Genomic DNA, 27,164 nt, shown 5'->3' with positions numbered 1-27,164 from the left:
TGATGTGTTACATGAGTGCACTGGACTGTACATTGTAGGAACAGTTGCATTTGGGGTTAACTTTTTGTGGCTTCCGGGCTGCTGTTTTTTTCCTTAGATAAATATTGAATCCCTGCTGTGGGCCAGGCATGATGCCAGGTTTCTCACATATACCCCAGACAAAACAGATTGTTCCTCTGGAATTGACTGTCTTGGGGGAAACAAATAAATAATATTTGATAAATGTGTTATGATAGATGAAGGGTAAGGGTCCATAGGAGCATATAACAGGGTTGGCTAACCTGAGACACATTGAAAGAGTGAAGATTAAACAGATCCATGTATGGCACAAAGAGCCATCCTTATCAGGCAGTTTCTACTTTCTCATAACTCCAGGCCTTATGAATCTGATAATTATAGCAGGGACATTCTTTTTGACTGTGGGAGTTTGTGTGTGTTACATTTTGGTTGAAGTTTTAGGTTAGATAGTTACTGTTATATTTGTTGCTTTGATTTCACTGTTACTACCAGGTTTTTTATAATATATATGAGTTGGGCTGTTTTTTATTTGAACGCTTCACAAGCAGATCTTCTCTCTCAATAACATTCAGTTTTAAATATCACTTTATTGCTACCTATGTTTAGTTTTTATATAGAAATCAACTCTGTTTAGGTGAGTGAGTTGATAAATATGTAAGTTTTTCAGCATAGGAAAATAGCCATTGCCATTTATAGAGTTACAGTTTATTAGTTGATGGTCAATGCCCATGTGAAGTAGCTGGGGCAGCAAAGATTATGCCAGGGGAAATTGAAGAAGAGCAACTTGTAGAAAACTGCTTTTATGTAGTTGTATTAGTTAGAAGATAGGCTCACTATTGTAATAGAAAGGCCTCAAAAGATACAATGGCTCAAACACAATAAAAATGTCTGTCTTGCTTACATAACAGGGCTTAGCAGATAAACAGGCCACACAGTTATTCAGGAACCCAGGTTGATGGAGGATCTTTTATCTTTGGTTCAAAGATTGCCATTGGTTGACTGCATTCCAGTCAGGTGGAAGGGGCAAAGAGCCTGGAGGAGCAGGGGTAGGACTGGACTGGTCCTGGAAGTGATGACAGTGACTTCCATTTATAATTAACTCTGTCAAAGGGTCACACCTAACTTCAAAGGAGGCAGACGTATGTATGTAGTCTGGCTGTGGGTTCAGGAGAAAGAGGAGAAAAAAGATTTTCCAGAGTAGCTACTTGTCTCTGCCATAGAATTGTTAGATAGTTTACTGTAGGTGGACTGTAAATAAATGTTTGCTTAGTTCTAACATTTGACTGATATTGGGTTGATCCTTTGAGACTTGGTATATTGTGGATATGCCTAAAGTTTCTTTTTCTACCAAAGATGTGATGTAATCTATGTTGTTACAGGAGTAGGAGAGGGAAGGAAACTACCATTAAAATCAGTCCTTAGAAGCCCAGGCACTGTTCTAGATGTTTGCATATATTAATATGATTTCATTTCATCTTTACAGTAACCTGGAAGAAAGATATTTAAATAATGCCTTTCCAGATCAAAAAATGAGTTTTGATGGCTTTTCTCAGTTTTCGTAATTGGCAGAACTGATTTCTGAATCCTTGAAGTTGATCAGTTGACAGGAATGCATTTACGATTTTTATCTTTTCTTTTGGGGTTACTTTTCAGTTTGACTTTGAAGGATCACTTTCTCCTGTCATTGCGCCCAAAAAAGCAAGGCCTTCCGAGACTGGATCTGATGATGTAAGCATTATTATTTCTTGCTAATATAAATTAATTTATGGATATTCATACTATTCTTCCACTTCTGTGGTATTCCTATCAATTCCTCTATCTTTCCAACACCTTTCACTTTATTTATTTTAATACTGAATAGCAATTATTTTGAAGAGTAGGATCTGTTACATTTTCTGTGGTCTTTAATGATTATCTAAAAATTAATACATGTATTACTGCATGATTTCAGTTTGGGTTTGTAGACATTTTAGTATCAACTGATCACCTGAAATGACAGCATTTACCTTTTTTATGCAGTGTTTTTTAAATTAAGGTTCTCAATTGTATCAGGTTCCATGGTATATTCCTTTTTTTTTTTGAGACGGAGTATCACTCTTGTTGCCCGGGATGGAGTGCAGTGGCAGGATCTGAGCTCACTGCAATCTCCGCCTCCCAGGTTCAAGCAGTTCTCCTGCCTCAGCCTCCTGAATAGCTGGGATTACAGGCGCCCGCCACCATGCCCAGCTAATTTTTGTAGTTTTGGTGGAGACAGGGTTTCACCATGTTGGCCAGGCTGGTCTCGAACTCCTGACGTCAAGTGACCTTCCTAACCTTGGTGTCCCAAAGTGCTGGGATTACAGGCATGAGCCACCACACCTGGCCTCCATGGTATTATTCTTCAGTGGTCCAAATATGTTTTTTTAAATTGTGGTGTAATTTACAAAAATGAAATACAGCTTGGGTTTAGTTTGATCAGTTTTAATATATGCACACTCATGTAACCTACACTCCTATAAAGACACACAATATTTTTATAACTCCATAAAATTTCCTTGTGTGGTTTTTTTTTTTTTGAGACGGAGTCTCGCCTTATCGCCCAGGCTGGAGTGCAGTGGCACGATGTCGGCTCTCCACCTCCTGGGTTGAAGCTATTCTCCTGCCTCAACCTCCTGAATAGCTGGGATTATAGGCATGCGCCACCACGCCTGGCCAATTTTTGTATTTTTAGTAGAGATGGGGTTTCACCATGTTGGTCAGGCTGGTCTTGAACTCGTGACCTCGTGATCTGCCCACCTCGGCCTCCCAAAGTTCTGGGATTACAGGCATGAGCCACTGGGCCCGGCCCCTCTTGCTGTTTTTAATCAGCTTTATTCTCTTCTTCTAGCAATCACTGATCTGAATTCTGTCACCATATCTTAGTTATACCTGTTCTAGAACTTGATGTAAATAAAATAATATAGTATGTAATCTTTGGTATAAGATTTATTCAGCATAATGCTTTTGAGATTAATTCATATTGTTACAGATACCAGTAGTTTGTGCTTTTTTATTGCTGAGTAGTGTGAATATACCATGGTTTGTTTATCTATCCTTCTTCTGCTGGTAGATATCTAGGCTATTTCCATTTTTTTTTTTTAAAGTCTTATGAATAAAGCAAGCTAGTGCCAAAATTCACTGGCAAGTCTTTGTGGATATATATTTTCTTTTTTTTTTTTTGAGACGGAGTCTTGCTCTGTCATCCAGGCTGGAGTGCAGTGGCACGATCTTGGCTCACTGCAACCTCTGACTCCCGAGTTCAGGCAGTTCTCATGCCTCAGCCTCCCCAGTAGCTAGAATTACAGGTGTGTGCCACCATGCCTGGCTAATTTTTGTATTTTTAGTAGAGACTGGATTTTGCCATGTTGGTCAGTCTGGTCTCAAACTCCTGGCCTCAATAATCTGCCCATGTTGGCCTCCCAAAGTGCTGAGATTACAGGTGTGAGCCACCATGCCGGGCCCGTGGACATACATTTTCATTTCTTTTCTTTTTTTTTTTAAGAGACAGGGTGTCACTCTGTTGCCTACGCTGGACTGCAGTGATGCTATCGTAGTTGACTGTAATCTTGAACTCCTAGGCTCAAGCCATCCTCCTACCTCAGCCTCCAAGTAGCTAGGACTACCGGTATGCTCCATCACGCCTGGCTAATTTTTAAATTTTTTTGGTAGAGACAAGGTGTTACTATAATATGTTGCCCAGGCTGGTCTCAAACTCCTGGGCTCAAGCAGTCCTCCTGCCCCTATCTCTCAAAGTGCTGCGATTACAGGTGTGAATTTTAATTTCTTTTAATTTAATTTAATTTCTTTTAAATTAAAATTCACATCTGTAATTTTAATTTCTTTTAATTTAATTTCTTTTAAATGAAAATTCACGCCTGTAATCACAGCACTTTGAGGGGTAGGGGCAGGAGGACTGCTTCAGCCCAAGAGTTTGAGACCAGCCTGGACAACATATTATAGTAAGACCAGTTGTCTACCAAAAAAATTTGAAAATTAGCCAGGCATGATGGCGCATAACCTGTAGTCCTAGCTACTTGGAGGCTGAGGTTGGAGGATGTTAAACACTCTTTCATGTGCTCATTAGCTGCTTATGTATCTTTTTGTGAAGTTTCTATTCAAATCTTTATCTACTTGTAAATTAGATTTTAAAAAATATGTAAGCTGTTGAAGTTCTTACATGTTCTAGACATGAGTTCTTGACCATATTTTCCCTTAGAATGTGGCTTTAACAGTGTCTTTGATGAGCAGAATTTTTTATTTTAGTTATCCAATTTATCAGTTTTTTATTTTATTTTATTTTATTTTTGAGATGGAGTCTCGCTCTGTTGCCCAGGCTGGAGTGCAGTGGCATGATCTCAGCTCACTGCAAGCTCTGCCTCCCAGGTTCATGCCATTCTCCTGCCTCAGCCTCCCCAATAGCTGGGACTAACAGGCGCCCGCCACCACACCCGGCTAATTTTTTTGTATTTTTTTAGAAGTGATGGGGTTCCACCGTGTTAGCCAGGAAGGTCGTGATCTCCTGACCTTGTGATCCACCCGCCTCGGCCTCCCAAAGTGCTGGGATTACAGGCATGAGCCACTGCACCCGGCCCAGTTTTTTCTTTTATGGTTAGTTCTTTCTGTATCTAGTCCAAGAATTTTTAATTTAGAGTAACACACTGTATTAAGCCTTACAAAAACATCAGTAAATTCCAAGATCTGGAAATAGCATAAACCACATTCTCTGAACCAAATGCAGTAAATCACAAGTAGAACCAAAATAGACTTGAATATTTGGAAAATGTAGTCCAATCAGTCTGAATATAAAAATCAGTTGATTATTAGATTATATTACTAGCCCCGGCATCTTATACATGTGGAAAGATGAATACACCAGCTGAATGCAGGTGGACCTTCCTTCTTACCAAAACACAGTTCAGTGTAGTGGCCACTAACTTGCCATCTACTTTTCCTATAAAACCTAGCCTGAGATAATCTTAAATTTTCTCTCTCAATCTCTACCTAAATAGTATAATTCTTCTCCCAATGTCTTTCCTAAAAGGTCATGAAAATATTTTTTTTAATGGTTTTTAAAGGTGGCTTGCCTTAACGTTTATAACTGGCTTGCTATTTTATAGTTACTTCATTCTTAGCATTGTCTTTTTTTTTTTTAACATACTCTTAGATCAACTTAATGTGAAAATGAAACTTGAATTGTTTTAAGTGAATTAATTTTCTTATGATATTATAAGGAGGTATTATTTTTAAAAATTAATATTCTTTTTATTCTTCTCAGGACTGGGAATATTTACTAAATTCAGACTACCACCAGAATGTTGAGTCTCATCTTTTGAACAGATCTTTATGTCTGAGTCCTTCAGAAGCTTCACAGATGAAGGATGAGGATTTTTCACAGAATCTCAGTCTGGATTCTTCTACACTTCTCTTTACTCACATACCTGCAATTTTTTTCGTTCTTCACCTTGTGTATGAGGAGCTTAAGTTGAATACTCTAATGGGAGAAGGAATTTGTTCACTTGTTGAACTTCTCGTTCAGTTGGCAAGGTAAATTTGTTTGTAGGTTAGAAACTGCCAGGAAGTCCTGAGATGACTGTCTTTTCCATATAGGAACCTTGTATCATATAGGGACCTTGTAAATAAGTTTCTGAAATCTACCTTCTCAGAAAACTAGGGCATCTCTGTAAACCACAGAGTTGTTTGAAGATACTGGTTTTGTAAGGGCCTGTGAGCCATGCAGGGATTTTTAGTCTTTGTCCTGAGATTAGTGGAAGGTCACGAAAAAATGGAGATGACCTGCTCAGATTTTCATTTTGACAGGATGACTGACTGGCTATACTGCGGTGGGAGTTCTAGAATAACATCTGCTGTTTTGTAATATCCACATTCAAATAGTGCTTTATAGTTGACAAAATCATAGTTTACATGTAAAGTCTCAAACAAGGTAAGTTTCCTGTTTTAGTGATGAGGAAACTTGCCTAAATGTCTTTCCTGGGATGCGAGTGTTTGATAGTTGTGGACTCATTTTGCTATGCTGTCCTTGTTGCAGTCTGAGGTTGTCCCTGTCTTTGAGGCACTCATAGTAGATCCACAATAAGATAGTTCTAATAATACGTTTCAACACCTTTCAAGAGCTTTGAAGCACCTGGTGTATGGCTCAGAATTCTAGGGTCATACTTGTGTGTTGTTTGACCTTTATGACCTTTGGTGATAAAGAAGTTGAATTTGAATTGAAATGTCAACCTCTGAGTTAAGACATAGTACATTTTCTAATTTCTGTTGTCTTTTTTGAGATCTTGAAATTCAATCCTGAGACATGGCAGTTTTAATCAATGGTAAATATCTCTTAGGATGTCATTACTGTCATGAAAATTCTTTTGTAATTAAGTAATTTCCAAACCATAATCATGGCTCTCTGAAAAAAGTAATGTGTATGATGTTTTACATTTTATCAGGTTTTTTTTTTTTTACATATTTTATCTTATTTAATCTTTAAAACTTCAGAGTAAGTGAGCTGGTATTGCCCCATTTTCTAGAAGAAAATACTGAGGTTTATAGACATGACTTTTGGAAGATCACACAGCTAATAGCAGAGGAGGAACTAGATCACGGTGCTTTTACTGTAGTTTTACTTCCACAAAATTTAGCAAAAAGAGATTGGGTTCCATTTGTCACACTGGGCACTTTAAAGTCCAAAAATACAATAGAGAGACTCTAGATTTGGTTATCTTTCTCATATGTAAGTTTTTAAATTAAAAGATTCAACTAATCAATCCTTCCAATTCTGTTGGGAGAAAGTGCTGTAATACCTTCTTTTTTACATGCCCTTACTGTTTTAGGGACTTAAAATTGGGGCCTTATGTAGATCATTACTATAGAGACTACCCAACGCTTGTCAGAACTACTGGACAAGTGTGCACAATTGATCCAGGTAAGTAGTCGTGCTTTTAAATATTTTCTAAACAGTGTAGTGATATTTCCTTGTATCTTTCTCATTGAATAGCAGAGGATGTATTTCTTACCATTAGCTTCTAAGTCAGGGGCAGTGCCTTTCCACCAGGCAGATTTTAGTTCGTAGTGCTTGTTTTCTGACACGTAGTAAGCCATAATATCTTCAGTGTATAGGGAAAATGTTACCCATCCCTAAGGTTCTGACTTGCAAAAGTCAGAGAAAGCTTCCAGGGTCAAGGATGCTTTTTTTTTTTTTTTTTTTGAGACTGAGTCTCGCTCTGTCACCCAGGCTGGGGTGCAGTGGCGCGATCTTGGCTCACTGCAAGCTCTGCCTCCTGGGTTCACACCATTCTCCTGCCTCAGCCTCCTGGCCTCCTGAATAGCTGGGACTACAGGTGCCCACCACCACACCTGGCTAATTTTTCTGTATTGTTATTAGAGACGAGGTTTAACTGTGTTACACAGGATGGTCTTGATCTCCTGACCTCGTGATCCACCCGCCTCGGCCTCCCAAAGTGCTGGGATTACAGGCGTGAGCCACCGCGCCAGGCCACCAAGGATGCTTTTAACTTAGACTTGTAGTGTACAGTTAGTACCACTAACCATATGCTACTTAAATTCAATTAAAATAAAACATATTTCCTCAGTGCACTAGCCGCATTTTGAGAACTCAGTAGCCACATGGGGCTAGTGCTACCATATTGGACAGTGCAGATACAGACACAGAACATCTCCATCACCACTGTACTATCCTAGACCCTGAGCTAAAGGTACTGAAATTTGGGGCCCAGTTGTTGGAACAGACCTGAATCCTGGATGTTTCTTTTGTTTTTTTCACCTTTAGGTTTAGGGCAAGATTTTTGATTAGATTCTTCTTTTTTTTTTTTTTTTTTTCTTGAGACAGGGTCTCACTCTGTCGCCCAGACGGGAGTGCAGTGGTACGATCTTGGCTCACTGCATCCTCTGCCTTCCAGGCTCAAGCGATTCTCCTGCCTCAGCCTCCCAAGTGCCTGGGATTGCCTGGGGTTACAGGTGTGTGCCACCACGCCTGGCTAATTTTTGTATTTTTAGTAGTGATGGGGTTTCACCATGTTGGCCAGGCTGGCCTTGAACTCCTGACCTCAAGTGATCCACCTGACTCAGCCTCCCAAGGGGCTGGGATTACAGGTGTTAGCCACCACATCCAGCCTTTGGTTAGATTCTTTGTATGCCTTGGGAACAAGAATTTGCTAAATTTCCATCCAGGGTGGGATAAAATAGAAGTCATTTAAATTCTACATTTAATAACATAGTTCCTTATGTACTGTGGCAGAAAACATGAAGCATTTTGGAGAATATGGAAAAACGTTATTCTTTTTTTTTTTTTTTTTTTTGAGACAGAGTCTCGCTCTGTCTCTTAGGCGTGATCTCGGCTCACTGCAACCTCCACCTCCTGGGTTCAAGTGATTCTTCTGCCTCAGTCTCCCAAGCAGCTGGGACTACGGGTGCGCACCACTAGGCCCAGCTAATTTTTTTTTGTATTTTTAGTAGAGACGGGGTTTCACCATATTGGCCAGGCTGTCCTTAACTCCTGACCTCGTGATCCACCTGCTTGGGCCTCCCAAAGTACTGGGGTTACAGGCGTGAGCCACTGCACCCAGCTGGAAAAATATTATTCTAGTTGTTTCAAAATGACAAGTAACTGTTGATCATCTTCCGTTTAAAATAAAATAATGTTGTCTTAATGTATTTTCGTGTCTTTTTGAATATTTATCTAATTTTAAAGGTCAAACAGGATTTATGCATCATCCATCATTTTTTACGTCTGAGCCACCAAGTATTTATCAGTGGGTGAGTTCTTGTCTGAAGGGTGAAGGAATGCCACCTTATCCTTACCTCCCTGGAATCTGTGAAAGAAGCAGACTTGTAGTCTTGGTATGTATGTGGAGTGTTACTACCTATCTCCTTTTTCTTTTAAAATTTAGTTTTAAAAAGTACACCTGATATTAAGTTTTTTTCTGTGTATAGTTCTGTGAATTTCAGTACGTGTATAGATTCATGTAATTACTACAATGAGGATATAGAACATTTACATCACCCTCAAAAATTTCTCTCATGATTTCGAGACTTATCCAAGTTGTTTCCTGTATCGACAGTTCATCGCATTCTATGGCTAATTAGTAGTTTATTGCATGAATGTGCCATAGTTGGTTTTTCATTCAAGATAGTTGGGTTGATTTCAGTTTTTAGCAATTGTAAATATAGATGCTGTCAGCATTCATGCTTAGCGTTTTATGTGAACATAAGTTTTGCTTTCTCTAGGACAGGTACCTGGGAGTAGGATTGATGGGTCATATAGTTAAGTTTATATTTTGTTTTTAAAGAAACTGTCATCTGTTTTCCAGAGTGGCTCTTCCATTTTACATTTTTACCACCAATATTTAAGAGATCATTTACCTGCATTCTTGTTGGTGTTTGGTATTGTCACTCTTTTTTATTTTTGTCTTTCTGAGAGATGTGTAGTTATACCTCATTGTGGTTTTAATTTGCATTTTCCTAATGGCTAATGATGTTTTCAGGGTTCTAGGTATGAGGTTTTGTCAGATATGTGGTTTGCAGATATTTTCTTCTGGTTTCTACCTTGTCTTGTCTCGTCATTCTCTTAATACATCAAAGAGCAAAAGTGTTTAATTTTGATGAAGCTAGTTTATCTGTATTTTTCTTTAATGGATGTTGCTTTTAGTGTCATGTCTAATAATTCTTTGTTTAACTTCAGGTTTTGAAGATTTTCTCCTGGGTTTCTTTGCATGTTTTACATTTAGATCTCTAATCCATTTTGTTAATCTTTTATAACATGTCAGGTTTTAAGTCAAGGTTTTTATTATTTCATTTGGATATCCAGTTCTTTCAGCACTGTTTTTTAAAAAGACTATCCTTTCTCTATTGCATTTGCACTTTTGTCAAAAGTTAATTTGGCCACATTCTTGTGTGTCTGTTTCTGGACTTTCTATTCTGGTTCATTGATCTTTGTGGCTGTCTACGCTGTAATTACTGTAGCTTTATAGTAAGTCTTTAAAATTGATTAGCGTTACTCCTCCCTTCATTACTCTTCTTGCCTTTTCATACTGATTTTATTTTTATTTTTATTTTTGAGACAGAGTCTCACTCTGTCGCCTAGGCTAGAGTGCAGTGGAGTGATCTCAGCTCACTGCAACCTCCACCTTCTGGGTTCAGGCGATTCTCCTGCCTCAGCCTCCCAAATAGCTGGGATTACAGGATCCCACACCATGCCCGGCTAATTTTTTGTATTTTTAGTAGAGACGGGGTTTCACCATATTGTCCAGGCTGGTCTCGAACTTTCAACCTCAAGTGATCCGCCTGGCTCAGCCTCCCAAAGTGCTGGGATTACAGGTGTGAGCCACCGTGCCCGTCCCATACTGATTTTATAATCAGCTTGTCTATAGCTACAAAGAAAAATCCTGTTGAAATTTTTTTCAAGAAACACTTCTTTATTTATTTTTATTATTTTTTGTTTACCTCTAGCTGCAAATCTCATGATTTATTTATTTTTAGAAATTAGTTTGTTATTACTGGTTAATACATGTCCAAGATCAAACCTTCATATAGAACCATAGGGCTGTAACGGTGAATAAGGTAAGTTTCTTGGCATACCTGTTCCTCAGTCCCCCCATCCTGGAGCAGCCTGCTCATAGGCCCCTTGTGGGCCTTTCCAGGTGGGGTCTTCCCAGGCTTGCAGGAGAACCATATGCTTTTGTCCCTTCTCTCAAATGTTGGCAGACTGTAAATGTCTTTGCCCCCTGCCCTTCTTTTTCTTTACTCTACATTTTGCTCTGCTTCATGGTGAGAAGTGCTTCACAGTCCCCCCCATGGCTCCAAAACAGACATACAGAATGATGTTTCTGTTTAAAAAACACGGGATTTTTTTAATGATAGCAAAATATATATAACATAATATTTGTCATTGAAATTGTTATTATTATTGTTTCTTGAGACGGAGTCACTCTGTTGCCCAGGCTGGAGTGCAGTGGCACAATCTCGGCTCACTGCAACCTCCGCCACCTAGGTTCAAGCGATTCTCCTGCCTCAGCCTCCCGAGTAGCTGGGATTACAGGCGTTAGTCACCAAGTCTGGCTAATTTTTGTATTTTTAGTAGAGATGGGGTTCACCATGTTGGCCAGGCTGGTCTTGAACTCCTGACATCAGGTGATCTGCCCACCTTGGCCTCCCAAAGTGCAGGGGTTACAGGCGTGAGCCACTGTGCCCGGCCTGAAATTATTTTTGAGTGTACAATCCAGTGGCGTTGAATACGTTCACATTGTTATGTTGCCATCACCACTGTCCGTACCCAAGACTTTTTCATCATCCCCAACATAAACTCTGTACCTATTAGATAGTGACTCCCCATTCCCCTTCCTCCCAGGCCCTGGTAATTCCGTTCTGTTTCTTATGAATTTGTCTCTTGTAAGTACCTCATGTTATGGGAATCAAGCAATATTTATCTCTCTGTGTCTGGCTTATTTCACTTAGCATAATGTTTTCAATGTTCATCCATATTGTAGCATGTATCAAAATTACATTGTTTTAAAGGCAGTATTCTATATAGTATTCCATTGTATGGATATACCACAATTTATCATTTCACCTGATGATGGACATTTGGGTTGTTTCCACCTTTTGACTGTTGCGAATAGTGCTGCTGTGAACCATGGGTATGCAAATATCTGTTCAAGTCTCTGCTTTCAGTTCTTTTTAATATATACCTGGTGGTGGAATTGTTGGGTCATATGGTAGGTAGTTCGATGTTTAACTTTTTGAGGAACTGCTAAACTCATTTTCATAGTGGCTATACCATTTTACATCCTTATCAGCAATGCAAGAGGAAGGGTTCCAATTTCTCTACGGTCTTGCCAACACATATTATTATTTTCTATTTGTTTTTTTAAAAATTATAGCCATCCTAGTATTTATGAAGTGATATCTCATTGTTTTGATTTGCCTCCTTAATTTAGTGATATTGAGCATATTTTCTTGTGTTTATTGGCCATTTACGTATCTTCTTTGAAGAAAGATCTATGCAGATCTTTTGTGTATTTGAAAATTGGATTTTTATTTTCAAGTTTAGGCATTTTTATGCTCTAGATATTAATGTGTCAGATACATGATTTGCAAATATTTTCTCCCATTCTATAGGTTTTTCTGTGAATGTCTTTTCAGTAAAACTGTCATGAGTGCTCAGTTTACCTCTCTGGCCTTTCATCTTAGTTTTATCCTCTTCGTATTCCTTTATAACTTGTTAGCTCAGAGATCTATTTATAAAAATATGAATTTAATTTTTATTTATAAAAATATTCTGAAAAATATCAACAGAAGCCCTTGTTGATACGTTTTTGGTTTCCTCATTATAAGTTTTATTGGACTTTTTTTATTTTTTATTTTTTTTATTTGAGACAAGGTCTTACTCTGTCACCCAGGCTGGAGTGCAGTGGTGCAATCATGGCTCACTGCAGCCTCAACCTCCCGGGGCTCAAGCAGTCCTTCCACCTCGGCCTCCTGAGTAGCTGGGACCACAGGTGCACACCATCACACCCGGCTAATTTTTGTATTTTTAGTAGAGATGGGGTTTTGCCATGTTGCCCAGGCTGGTCTTGAACTCCTGACCGCAAGTGATAAATTTTTTTTATGTGATGTTTAGCTAATGAGACATTTGTAGTAACCTTCTAGCTTATGGTGGCTCTTTTTCTATTGAGTCACTTGTATATGCGGAGATGGCATTGTCTGTGTACCATTTGTTGAAATGAGGGAAAGGAAGGAAGTGAGATAACATTTATTGGGAGCCTGTTGTCTTCAAGGAACTTTATGTATGTTTTCTCATTTAATAGAGAGATCTTATGTACTTTTGTGTTTGTGTTATATGTTGAATATTTTAACTCTTTTGAGAGACTTTTTCCTTTGTGTTATCTTTTTCTTTTCCTCTTCAAAGCAAATAACACTACAGCTCTGTACTACTAGATACTTCTTAGATAGTGAGAGAGCACTATTCGATACCTGTTGGAATGACTGAAAATAACTTTTGGTGAGGATATGGAGCAATCGAAACTCTCATACATTACTGGTGGGACTGCAAAAGTGGCATGGCACTTTGCAAAACTGGCAGTTTCTTGTGAAGTTAAACATACACTTTCGTATTTACTTAAGATAAATGAAAACATATGCCTACATAAAGACCCGCATGTATGTGAATGTCTTTGGGGCCAGGTGCGGTGGCATAATCTCAGCACTTTGGGAGGCCGAGGAGGGCGGATCACGAGGTCAGGAGATCGAGACCATCCTGGCCAACATGGTGAAACCCTGTCTCTACTAAAAATACAAAAATTAGCTGGGCGTGGTGGCGCATGCCTGTAATCCCAGCCACTCTGGAGGCTAAGGTGGGAGAATCGCTTGAACCCAGGAGGCGGAGGTTGCAGTGAGCCGAGATTGTGCCACTGCGCTCCAGCCTGGCGACATAGTGAGACTCCGTCTCAAAAAAAAAAAAAATAAATAAATAAATAAAGCAGCTTTGGTCATAGTGACCACAAACTGGAACCAAATGTTCATCAGTTTTTGAGTAGGTAAACAAAGTTTGGTATGTCTGTATAATGGAATACTACTTAGCATGAAAAGGAAGAAACTAGTGATCCTTGGAGAGACGTGAATGAATCTCAAAGACTTATGCTAAGTTAAAGAAGTAGCACAAAAAAGACTACATATCATATGATTGATTTACATGATATTGTAGGATAGACAAAACTGTAGAGCAAGAAAACAGATGAATTGTTTCCAGTGCTGGGTGTAGGAGGAAAGGATTGACTACAAAAGGAACAAGGGAACTTTTTGGTGTGATGAAAGTATACTATATTGTGAGTGTGGTAGTGGTTATGTGATACAACATTTGTCGAAACTCACAGAGCTGTACACCTAAAATGGATGAATTATTCTATGTTATAATTATTTTCTAGTTATACTTCAATTATGTAGCTAGGTGTGGTGGCTCATACCTATAATCCCAGCAGTTTGGGAGGCTGAGGCAGAAGGATTGCTCGAGGTCATGAGTTTGAGCCCAGCCTGGGCAACACAGCGAGACTCCGTCTTTACAAAAAATAAAAATAATATAAAATAATAAGCTGGGCATGGTGGTGTGTGCCTATAGTCCTAGCTACTCTGGAGACTGAAGCAGGAAGATTGCTTGAGCCAAGGAGTTTGAGGCTGCAGTGAGCTGTGATTGTGTCACTGCACTCCAGCCTGGGTGACAAAGTGAGATGCTGTCTCTGAAAAGAGAAAAATAATGTTAATTTTCTTCCTTTGCAGAGTATTGCACTGTACATACTTGGTGATGAGAGCTTGGTTTCTGATGAATCCTCACAGTATTTAACCAGAATAACTATAGGTAAGTTGGTGCAATGTTGCCTCTGGAAACAAATTTTTGTAAATGTCAGTATCAGAATTGAAAAAAGAATTGAATTTTTCTTGTTTGCTTTGGCGGCCATGTCTTACCTTTTTAGTACTGTTCTGGTCTGTTGCGGTCTTTTGTCCACAACTAATTTTCAGGTATCAGGATTACTTAAAATCTAATACATCTTGTATTTTCAGTGCGGGTAAAAAGGACTATTTTAGCCTGAAGGAAATTATTGTACCATTGACTCTTGAACAACATGAGTTTGAGTTGTGTGGGTCCACTTACAATGAAATTCTTTTCAGCCAAATGCAGATAGAAAATGCAGTATTCTCTGATGTGAAACCCATATGCAGGTTCTGCAGGGCCAGTTGCAGGACTTGAGCATGCACGGATTTGGGTACGCATGGGGTGTCCTAACCAATCCCCTGAGTATTCTGAGGGCCTTGACTGTACTTTTCAGCCTGCCACAGTATTGCTTATTTTATTTTTTTTTAGATGTTGTTTGCTAATTGATTCTTATTTTCAAATGTTTTCTACATGTTACATGTTTTCTTTACCAGGATGACTATCAAAATTAAGTTTCATTTTGTTGCCTTTTAGCCCCCCAGAAGTTGCAAGTAGAACAAGAGGAAAACAGGTGACTTTTATTTAGACTGTGCTTTTATGTCAAACACTTAAAACAATATTATTTACTGTTCTGCTTAATAACTTTATGTTTTATTCTCTTATAGGTTTAGTTTCAGGCATTCTACATCTGTTTCTAGTCTAGCTGAAAGATTGGTTGTCTGGATGACTAATGTAGGTGAGAGCTTCTTTGTTACCTCCTAACTAGGCCGTGCTTCCTCCAGACTAGCTAGAAGTGGAAGGCATGAGGAGAGAGGGGCTCTGGCTTTGTGAAAAGGCCTCACAAGATTGAGATTATGGTTCATCAAGCCATATTCTTTTTTTCTCGACAATCTCACAACTTTCATATAATAATATTTGGGATACCAGCTTTTTATCTTGATGCATAAGGAATCTTTATTTGCCATTTAATTGGAACATTTGAGGCTGTGGCTATGTAAGCTGGTCTCTGAGAATGGAGAACTCTAATCACCTACATACACACCTGAAATCATTGTGATACTCAGATATCAGAAATGGGTGGTTTTGGCAAAGTCTAAAAGCAATAATATAAACATTTCAGGGTATACTTTTGAAGGATAAATGCACTTTTGAAGGGATTTCAGGCACCAAGATGAACATTGAACTGGGAAGAGGAAGAGGAAGGAAAAGAGTTCTATATTCCCTATTCCCCAAACCTATGCTCCTAGGTTTTAAATTAAGTAAAATACCAAAGAAATTTTTTTTCACAAAGAACTGAAAAACAAAAATTACTGCCACGAAGACATGATTTTAAAAATGAGGATGTTATATGGGATGTATGTTAAAAAGTAAAGTTTTAATGAATATTAAAAGATGTTTTTGAAGTCTTATCTAAAGTATGTTCTAAATGAAGTTTCTGACAGGTTTTTTTTTTTTTTTTTTGCATTTTACCTTAAAAATGACAATAACTGTTGCATAGTATACATACAGGATACCTATGCTGAAAAATATTGGATTAGTTCTATCCATTTGTATATTGCATAATATTTAATAAGTGTTATTCTCATATAAGGAAACATTTTTTGCCTCAATAGTTAATCGACTTTTTATATTATAAATAATGCATAGTATTATGAAATTTAGAAAATCATAAGAAAAACATGATTTAATTAACCTGAGGATAAATTTAAATATGAAATATGGTATACTTACAAAATAATATGTCAAACGTATATGTTTAGTTTAGAGAATGGTACTAAAGTGAGTATTGATGTACTGGTCACCCACCCCTAGAAATAGAATATTACCCGCATAGTAGAAGGCCCTTACATATCTGTTCTTGGATGGTCCCCTCCTGTCACACACCCCAATGTTATAGTGAACCACTGCCCTACCTACATTTGTGTTACCTTACTCTTGTTTTTCTTTATAGTTTTACATCTTTATAAATTGCTAGGTCTTATGTAGTTTTGAAAATATATAGATGTAAATATGTGTTCCTTTTTCTTCACTCAACTTTGTTTTTTAAAGATTCATCCATGTCGACTCATGTAGCAGTAGCAGCGGGCCATTCATTTTCTCTGATATAGAGATTACTTTGTTTGAACATATCATAATTTAATTACCCATTCTATTGATGATAGACAATCGGACTCACCCCTTTCTCCATCTCTTTTTTTTTTTCCATAACAAACCAGTATTGCTAATGAATATTTTTATACCTGTGTCTTTGTACATGGGTATAAGTTTCTATATGGCTGTTGATGGATCAAATGGGTGGATTGACCTATACATACCAACTGTTTTCCAAAGTGGTTGTACCAGTTTACACTACCATTGGCTATGGATAAGCATTATTGTTGCTTGGGCCAGGCGCGGTGGCTCATGCCTGTAATGCCAGCACTTTGGGAGGCCGAGGCGGGTGGATCACGAGGTCAGGAGATCGAGACCATCCTGGCTAATACGGTGAAACCCTGTCTCTACTAAAAAAAAAATTACAAAAAAAATTAGCCGGGCATGGTGGCGGGCGCCTGTAGTCCCAGCTACTCGGGAGGCTGAGGCAGGAGAATGGCGTGAACCCGGGAGGAGGAGCTTGCAGTGAGCCAAGATCGCGCCACTGCACTCCATCCTGGGCGACAGAGCGAGACTCCATCTCAAAAAAAAAAAAAAAAAAAAAAAAAAAGAATAAAAAGAATTATTATTGCTCTACATAGTTGCCAACATTTAGTATTGATTGGCTTTGACATTTATATTTCTCAGTAGCTTTAATTTGCATTTTCCTGATCCCTAATTAGGTAGAGCATCTTTTCATATGCATGTTGCCCATTTATGTTTCCCCTTCTAGGAAATGTCTTTTTGTCCTTTATATTTTTCTATTAGATTGTCTTTTTTTCTTCAGGTTTTTACAAGTTCTTTCAAAGAGACTTCCTATACTAGTCCTTGATGTCAAGACATTAGTCTGGTAGTAAGATGAATAAAATGAACTTATTTGTCAGGATAGATATTGTTGCCAACTTCAGTCAGGATAATTGGGACAGTGGCGAGTCTAAATTAAAATTTTTCTCTCTTCCTTTAACCATTAGGATTCACTTTAAGAGATTTGGAAACTCTTCCCTTTGGAATTGCTCTTCCCATCAGAGATGCAATTTATCACTGTCGTGAGCAGCCTGCCTCAGACTGGCCAGAAGCTGTCTGTCTCTTGATTGGACGTCAGGATCTTTCCAAGCAGGCCTGCGAAGGAAACTTACCCAAAGGGAAGTCTGTGAGTATCAACATAGAAAGTTCAGAGTTCCAATTTTAGCCTTAAATAAAATCATAAAGTAGAAATGTTCTTCATTTTCCTTTAAGGCTTTTTCTAAGTATATATATTAGCTTGTCTTTTATATTATATGCCAGACGGGGTTTGTAATTGTACGCGTCTTATTAATTGTTAAGATGAGCATTAGGAGCAGGAGATTTTGTGAATGTTCTGTCTTGTGCCTGGATCTTTCTTTGCCTTGAATCAGGACAAGTCCTGAGGGTAGTCATGGAAACTACCATGGCTATTTCCCTACTTGTACCATATTAGTAATTAACCACTTTGTAATTATTACATAGGAAAAGGGAGAGCACATATATCCTGAATTTGGATGAGTAATTATATATAAATATTTTCTACTGCATATTTTTTGATGTGTTGAATTTTTTGAATTTAACCTTTTAAATAGGTGTAAACATATTTGTTTAATCACATAAAACTGCAGCCCCAGGGAAAAAATGTGTTTTTTTCAGTAGAGTTGTTTAAAAACATGTCTTAAGCTATCCCTCCCGAAATACTGTCTTTCATCAATCATCAAGTCTGTTTTTTTTTTCAAATGAGTTCTAGGAATCCTGCAAGTAGAAAGTTAAATTATTTCATTACTCTCCAATTATCTTTTTAAATCATCCTCACCATGTTGGCCAGGCTGGTCTGGAACCCCTGGCCTCGGGTGATCCGCCCACCTCGGCCTCCCAAAGTGCTGGGATTACAGAGTGTGAGCCACCACACCCGGCCAGCAATATAGTACTTTTTAGAAAGATTTGTAGATTAGAGTCCCAGTATACATTGCGGCTCCAACCCATGCCTGCTTTGGAAAACATATTTTCTCTGTGCTAGTATAGTCAAGACACATCAGCCTATATATCCTCATGTTCAGCAAGTGCATGTTAACTGCTTTTGAAATTATTATTACAATAAAGTCTGTTACTCAGGTGCTCTCATCAGATGTTCCTTCAGGAACAGAAACTGAGGAGGAAGATGACGGCATGAATGACATGAATCACGAGGTCATGTCATTAATATGGAGTGAAGATTTAAGGGTGCAGGATGTGCGAAGGCTTCTTCAGAGTGCGCATCCTGTCCGTGTCAACGTAGTGCAGTACCCAGAGCTCAGTGACCACGAGTTCATCGAGGAAAAGGAAAACAGGTGAAAGAAAACACGTGCACTATCTCTTGTCATGTTTCATTGTTACATTTGTGTCTTGTGTATATTTGTTTTTCCTTCAAGTTTTTAGCATTTAAAACCCTAAAGAGATTTAAAAGATACTTTCAAGTGAAAATATGCCCTGTGTTTTAAGTTTTCATCCAACTTCAACAAACCACGTGTGTTAGCAAAATGTCTTTGGCTTTTGAGGACGTAATTGTTGTATTTCATATCGTCCTCCTCTTGAAATACATATAACACTTTACTCTTTAGAAAAGGTGAATGTAAAACTATTTTGCCTGATAGTTACCTTAAGAATTTACAAACAAAGAAAACACTGGACTTGTTTTTCTGTGTCTTGATCAGGAATAGATTTTGAGGTTAGTGGGGTTTTTAGTGTAGTTTAAACTTGTATGAGTATTTTTTTTTTTTGGATATGATAGATGATACTCCAAATAAAAATAGATAAGCCTTTCTTCTGCCACTCCCCTGCACAGGATACATCCCTTGATACATTATAAGACTCACATGCCTATGACATTCCAGAGCTATTCTCTTGGGACACTTCTGTTTTAAAATTCTCTCCTGTTCTTTTATCTGCTTGTCTCTATCATCTATCATTCATCTGCCACTGTTTTCTAGTTCTCTTTACTTTTTTTATGGTACTGTTTTGAGGGGAACCATCACCCACACTTAGCCACAGGCTGCTGAAGATCTGAATTAGTTGTGATTTCCCTATTAACTGTTTCCTCTCCACATGTACCCAGTTATTAGTCACCTGTGAATAAAAAGATGGAGTGACAGAAGTTGAGTTTAGAGCATAGGATTTATGAGCATGGCCTCTAGAGCCAGGCATGGCCATGCTGTGCTGGGTGACTTTGGTTAAATTACTTTACCTCTTGTTGCCTCAGTTGCTTCATTTGTAAAAGTAGGCATACTTCATGGGATGGTGCTGTGTATCAAGTGAATTATTTTTACATAGCACTTAGAATACTGCTCAATACATAGTAAAGCTCAGTGCAGTCAGCCATTATTAGTAGTAGAGTTCATTGATTCTAAGATGCAAGTTTTTTCACTTTTTAATATCTCTGAAATCAGTTGTGTATTTCAGTGAACAGGTGTCATAGTTTAATTGGCAGTGCTTTTTCTTTCTTAGTTTCTCATGAAATAATGATACATCTTATCAGTGGCATCTTATATTCAGGGGATATAATATTGTTCTCATTATAATTTTGTTACTTGCGCAAAGTTGAAGTGAATTATGTGTAAGATTTCCTCTAAAAAAATTCTATGGGTTGCAACAGCCTCTTGGCTTTGAATTTTCCTGATCCCAAATTAATGTTGCGGTTGTGTTCCCAGAGAATCTTTAAGACAGCAAAATTTTTCTTTCCAGTTAGCTAGAAAAGCAGTTATGTGTGTCCAGTTAAGGAGGGAGTATGCTTATGAATAGCTTTGTCTGCAGAGAAAATGTTTGTCAGTTGTCAGCCTCTGAAGGGATATTTCTGTGTCTTCAGATATAGCTTGTATAGGCGTTTCTTAGTTATAAATGCCCTACTTCCAAAATTTCTGTTAGTTTTTTTTAAGTGGCTATATGGAATGTTAAGCTATTTTAACATAGGAAGAAGTTGAAGAGTGGTGTATTAATTTCACAGTAGAGCCAACAGAAACCATTTTAACCTTGAACATACCTGATACATAATGGTATTAGTCCTATAAATCTAGCCATCATGTAAGTGAAACCAATCTGTATTTCCCTTGGAGACACCATGAAATCCATTCACCTCTAACACAAGGACCTTGTTTCTTTTCTTGTGTACAGGCCACAGAAATGGTACTTCTGAGGCTGTATTGGCAAAAGGGATGGGAGGAGGATCCCACATGTACTGAGGACAGCTAGACTGAAATTAACACAGTGATAAAAACCCCAAAAGTACTGTATTTTCCTTTGAGAAGGTTAGCATCCATCGGAGTGGAATTTTAAATTTCTTTTTTTTTTTGAATGCCTAGAGAGAGTCGGCTGGGTTTATAGGCCAGGTGGTTTTCATTCAATGTAAATATGAAACAAAACAGAGGAAATATGTCTCTCCCTAAGAGTGTAATAGGAACAAGAATATTAAAATGAAAATAATCATGTTTGGGTAGTTCACTCACATCTGTGTATGAATTTACTTTGAGACAACTTCATCTTATACAGTACACCTTCTTTTGAAATACTTACAGATGATATTTCAATTGCTCTTTGCTTTAAACATTTTCATATGTTGGTTTTTACTTTAATTACAGATTGCTCCAATTGTGTCAGCGAACTATGGCTCTTCCTGTAGGACGAGGAATGTTTACCTTGTTTTCGTACCATCCTGTTCCAACAGAGCCATTGCCTATTCCTAAATTGAATCTGACTGGTATGTTAAATTCTGGGCTCAATGAGAAAGGAAAATGATTAAGTACATGCATTAAGTGTAGTTCTTTAAATTAGTTAAAACAAAAGAAATGCTCCCTCTATCCCCAGTGATTTAAAATTTTCCTAATAGCTGCTGTAGTGGTTATCAAAGCTCAAATGCCATGTGAAACTAAACTTTGAGAGAAGCAGAATATAGTTCATTACTCATTTTTGCTTTTTAATGAGGTGATTTTAAGATCTAAAAAGTCACTTGGAGAAGTTCAGAAAGATATTATTGATAACGATGAGACTTGAATTTTAAATAATCTTAAGTTTAATATGTAAAAATATTTAGTTTTAAAATGTCTTACGTCATAGTTTAAACAGATGATCATTGTATAAATCAAGAAATGTACTAAGCAAAAAGAGAAACAATGGTCGCTTGCAGTACTCCCACTCTTCTGCATCACTCCTTTTAACATTTTAGTATATATGTTTACTAAGTTTATTTCCACATATTTATAATTTTATATTTGTTTAATTATCAGAAAATTTATATCTATTTTAGATTTTTTTAAAAATTTACAGTGAACATCCTTTTATATCTAGCAAATAAATGTATGTGTTTATAATTATGTGTATGTATTGTATACACGTGTTTTTAATCAATACATTCATTTTTATTTGCTTCAGAGTATTTCATTCAGCGGATATACCATAGTTTATAGAAGCAGCCTGGTATTGTTGGAAATTACAGTTTTTTGGTATTATAAACATTGTTGGGGCGTATTCGTCCTGTGTATTTAGGCTAAATGCTTAGAAGTAGAACTCTTAGGACAGCAAGATGAATGGTTTTAAGGAACATGTCAAATTGCCTTTCTGGCTGGCACAAGTTTTTATTTCTGCCATATATAACTGTAGTTATAGTCTTGATTACAATGAATTTTATAGTGCATGTCCCCCTAATGCTGATTTGAATGTGTTCTAAAGGTGACAATTACATAGTTGAAATTATCACTGAAACTCTATTATAGTATATATGGTTTTGTGAAACCTATACAAAATGTATAATGTATGTTGTAGGAGTGTATAGTATATGTGGTAGCATATAATGTATAATTTAATATATGATAAATAGTACATAATATATGCAAACATAATTATACAGTATTTTAAATTGCATACTTTAAAAAATCCAGAGTTCCACTCAGATTTGTGAAAAGCTTGTGCTTTGAGCAGCATGCAGGAAATGAGATTGACTAAGTGAAAGAACACATTCCCATCTCCATATCATGCTTATTCTGAGCCCTGATCTCACTGAGGGACATAGTGAGCAGAGTTGCTTTTAATATTTAAATTGTCTCAGAGGTAAAGCACCTATGGCAAAATTTTAACAATTATTGATTCTTGATGGAAGGCATGGTATATAGATGTTCATTTTAGTAGTCTTTCCAACTGTTTATATGAAAGATTTCATATAATAAGTGCAGATTAAAAAGAAAATCTAATGCAAAATTGGCAAATGTTAAAATGTATTCAATCTGGGTGATTTAGCACTCAAGTGATACTTGGGTGGGTTTAAAAAATATATACATGCATCTTTTTTTCTGAATACATTTAATTGAATTTGCATGATTTAAAATGTGTTTATGACATTAATCCAACATTTTATTCTTTTAGTCATTCTGGTAGGCCAAAAAGAAAGGTTATCCTCTTAATTTAGGAAAGAATATTTTCTTAAATAGTTGCTTAACCCACACTGATGTGGCCTGTTGTACTTTTGTATGTTGTTATTCTCATTGAAGAAAATTTACCTTACCCTTTGCATTTTATTTTCTCTCGTGTATAAATATTATGTCTCTTGCATATGATGAATGAATGTTTCAGAAAGGTCACTCAGTTTTTTCATATTGATATGTCTGCCTTTTTTGAGAAAGTACAAGTGTAACTTATGAACTTATTACTCATTGTGGTGCTAACACTAGCAGTTGAGTTAGCTTTTAGGTACAAAAAGCATATAGTAAAGACAAATAAGTCTTACTTTGTGCTTTGTGTGTGTATGTGTACATGCTACAAATAAGACACTGCATCTACTTAAAATTTATTTTACATAACATCTTAGAACTCTTTAAAAATGGTATTTTTAAAGCTGCAGTGAAATGGATAACTTTATGCAGTAATTAAAATATTTATGTTAATTATTTTATCCGTGACTTAAGACAATATTCAAAATATATTTAAAAAGATTCAATGTTTGCTGTGTATAATGTAGATCAAAAAGAAAAGAATCAAGAAAAAATTCGTAGGGAACATATAGCATTGTGAACATATAATTTACATTGTTCTTAAATAAATGGACCGTAAAAGTATAATCTGGTGAATGCCCTTTTGAAGTTCACTGGGTGACTCAAGTCTATAAAAGGATGCTTTTTACAAAACTATCTCTAAGCATTTTAAACGATAGCATATAATTAGATATCTATATCTGTATGTATATATAGAGAGAGAGAGAAAAAAAGAGAGAGAAGGGGGCATATATAGGTAAGACCTGTAGCAGATTTATTAAGGTTCTTGTTTCCTTTTTTTTTTTTCTTTTTTGAGATGCAGTCTCTGTCTGCTGCCCAGGTGGGAGTGCAATGGCATGATCTTGGCTCACTGCAACCTCTGCCTCCCAGGTTCAAGTGATTCTCATGCCTTAGCCTCCCAAGTAGCTGGGACAGGCACGCACCACCAGGCCTGGCTTTTGTCTTTTCTTAAGATGTCATTTTTCCTTAATGTCTAGGGGAAAATATAGGATAGAACATTTGAAATTAACATCAGTGTCATCAGATGTTGGGATTTATAACTTGTATAGTTTAACAGTGATGTTAGTCTTCATTTTGGTTTTTAAGCTCTCTGTTTGAAAGAAAAAATGAGTGATTATCCCAGTCATCTCTGTATAATGTTAAATTGGTATCAGTTATCTCATTATATAGCCTCATACATTTTAACAAAAAGGACAATGAACTGTTTAGACAGTGAAGGTTTTTCCAGTTCCATTAAGTTTGACTCACATGTACAAAAGTTTTAAGTGGTCATAGAGACCTAACGTTCCAGGCATTATGGGGTTAATGGTTTTGAATGTAGAAAACGTAAGTAATCTTAGTCTCAAAGATCTAAATTTAACAATCTTGGTTTTGTGGATTTTTATTCTCTCAATGTTCTTCGTTTGGCTGGATAGGGCGTGCCCCTCCTCGGAACACAACAGTAGACCTTAATAGTGGAAACATCGATGTGCCTCCCAACATGACAAGCTGGGCCAGCTTTCATAATGGTGTGGCTGCTGGCCTGAAGATAGCTCCTGCCTCCCAGATCGACTCAGCTTGGATTGTTTACAATAAGCCCAAGCATGCTGAGTTGGCCAATGAGTATGCTGGCTTTCTCATGGCTCTGGGTTTGAATGGGCACCTTACCAAGCTGGCGACTCTCAATATCCATGACTACTTGACCAAGGTGAGACCTGTGCTCCCAGTGCCTGGCTTTGTGCCTTGGCTGGCTATTGTAGTAGCTCCTAATTGCTCTATTTGCTCTTCTTTCTTCATTCTTGTACTTCTAAGTCCATTTGTCTCATAGTACATGGAATAATCTTTCTAAAGCATAAATCAGAGTATGTCACTTCCCTGGTCAAAGCCATTTAATTAATGATCTCCCATTGCTTTTTTTTTTTTTTTTTTTTCCTTGAGTAAGGCAGAGTAGAATTTAATGAGTGACAAGAAAGCTCTCAACAGCGAGAGGGGACCCGAAGGTGGGTTGCCAGCCACGAGGCTGAGTCTAGAGGTTTTTATGGGCTTGAAATGGGGGAGGTACATGCTGATTGGTCTGTGGGTATGCTTGAAAAAGCACCATTTAGAAATAGGCACGATAGTGTAGAGGACCAACTGGGGAAGGGCAGGTATATGTAAGGTAGGTGAAGGATAAGGACCAATCAGGAGAGAGCATGCCAAACAGGAATGAGAGCTCTCTAGTCCATGGATTTATCCAGAACTTGTAGCTTGGTTTTCAGGCTTTCGACTGTCCTTGGCTTGAAGGTTGAGTTTCATCTGAGAATTTACCTGCCTCCTACCGCCATCAATCCCCGCTCTGAAGAGGTATATCTAACTGCTGTTCGGATAGGGGTGATGACTGTTCTGCTTCATGCTGACAGAGGGTGTTGTTTTGGGAAACAGCAGTCAGGTCTCTCTTAGAGGCCTATCTAAGTGTCCCCTGGTAAAAGAGAGCCATCAACCGAGGTTCCATTTGCATGACCACTTGGAGTTTGATGGCCTCTAGGCGAGAAAAAACAAATTTTACAAGGAGGTTAAGTACACATGGACCAAATATGAGTATTACAATGAGAACACAAAGAGGAACTAAAAGGGGGAAAATCCATGCCCATATATTAGGGACACCTAGAAAGGACAGGAAGAAAACCTCTGAAAATGGACTGTTCTATTCCAGGATTTTGCAAAATAGGGTTGTCATGGGCATGTCCCCCTAGATTATTAGATATGTTATAATTAGGCATTGCAATGCTTTTAATTAGATTTCTGATCCATAGGCTGCAGAATCCAGTAATGCCTGATAATCCCTTTAGTTAGCTGAGGGTCTTGGGGAGAAGGAAGGAGAAAATGGATCCAATTCTCTCCTCGCCCAGTGTCCTGGTCCCTTCTGACAAGACCAGGCATAGGTACTTCACTGAAGTCTGACGGAGTTGAGCCTTGGACTTTGAAACTTTATGTCCTCTGTCAGTTAGAAAATTAAGAAGAGCCTTATTGCTTTTCTGAGAAATTTCCTCAGTTGGGGCACAGAGTAGAGTGTAATCTACATATTAAGACTAACTTGAGTTTGAAAGAACTCAGAGAGATCTTTTGAGATTGCCTGCCCAAACAGGTGGAGGCTGTCTTGGAATCCCTGTGGTAACACCATCCAGGTTAGCTGGGTAGTCTGGTTGGAGGGATCCCTGAATGCAAACAAGTTTTGGGAGTTGGGGTATAATGGTATGCAGAAAAAAAGCATCTTTTAATTCCAAGAATGCAAACCATTTAGTTCCTTCAGGTATCTAAGTTAACAAAGTATAGGGATTGGGAACCACTGGGTAAATTGGTTAATTACACCAGTTACTCATTGAGGAGGTGGAGATCCTGGACCAGTCTCCATTCCCTGTTGGGTTTCTTTCTGTACTTCCAATATTAGGATATTACAAGGACTGTCGCAGGGTTTAACAAGGCCCTGCATCCTTAGGTTATTAATGATGGCTTCTAGTTGTTTCCTAGCTTCTGGTTTTAGGGGATATTGTCTTTAATTAGGGAAGGAGATGAGATCCCTGAGATGGATTTGGACTGGTGAGACTGTTGTAGCTCAGCCAGTATTTTCCTGAATTGCCCAAACATCTGGATTAATATCAGTCTCCACCAGAGGGAGGCAAAGAGTCTGTCCTGGAGCCATAATGGAGCCATAAGGATGGTGGTTCCCATGTGAGCTAAAATATCCCTACCTCAGAGGAGTCGGGCTTTCAGGTATGATTAAAAAGGCATAGGTAAACGAAAGGTCTCCCTAGGTACAGCTAAGGGATTGAGAAAAATATCGAGTCAGAGGCTTTCCTGAGACGACCCTCACAGTTGTGCTAAGGGAGGAGGGGAGGCCCAGAATGGAGAGGAGAACAGGAATGGCTGCTCTGGTGTTGAGTAGGAAGTCTGTCCTCTGAGTCCTTTGACCTCCAGACTCACCCGGGACTCCTGGATGGTAATGCAGCCTGGGCTGTCAGAGCTGGGGAGGAGAGCCCTGGGACCCATCAGTCCTGCTGGACCATTTGAGAAGCCGGCTC

At 38.0% G+C, this 27,164-nt stretch overlaps 1 protein-coding gene across 9 annotated transcripts in view; it reads left to right on the top strand.

The window, feature by feature from the left end:
* ANAPC1 (anaphase promoting complex subunit 1) overlaps positions 1–27,164 on the top strand; it is a 117,963-nt gene that overhangs the window by 44,010 nt on the left and 46,789 nt on the right. For 4 of the 9 annotated variants that reach the window (XM_017004710.3, XM_011511633.3, XM_017004713.2 and 1 more), the window contains 11 exons: positions 1,672–1,746; positions 5,312–5,580; positions 6,873–6,964; positions 8,750–8,898; positions 14,329–14,407; positions 15,017–15,053; positions 15,148–15,218; positions 17,584–17,762; positions 18,719–18,945; positions 21,226–21,344; positions 24,543–24,814. In XM_017004710.3, the coding sequence (XP_016860199.1) occupies positions 1,672–1,746; positions 5,312–5,580; positions 6,873–6,964; positions 8,750–8,898; positions 14,329–14,407; positions 15,017–15,053; positions 15,148–15,218; positions 17,584–17,762; positions 18,719–18,945; positions 21,226–21,344; positions 24,543–24,814 (1,569 nt within the window). Of the gene's footprint in view, positions 1–1,671; positions 1,747–5,311; positions 5,581–6,872; positions 6,965–8,749; positions 8,899–14,328; positions 14,408–15,016; positions 15,054–15,147; positions 15,219–17,583; positions 17,763–18,718; positions 18,946–20,761; positions 20,896–21,225; positions 21,345–24,542; positions 24,815–27,164 lie in introns of those variants that run through there. The other 5 variants (XM_017004711.2, NM_022662.4, XM_047445430.1 and 2 more) reach the window with 4 other exon arrangements.

The sequence above is a fragment of the Homo sapiens genome, chromosome 2 (assembly GCF_000001405.40).
Source record: "Homo sapiens chromosome 2, GRCh38.p14 Primary Assembly".
Classification (NCBI taxonomy): Eukaryota; Metazoa; Chordata; class Mammalia; order Primates; family Hominidae; genus Homo; species Homo sapiens.
This window is presented reverse-complemented; position numbering and strand designations above follow the sequence as displayed.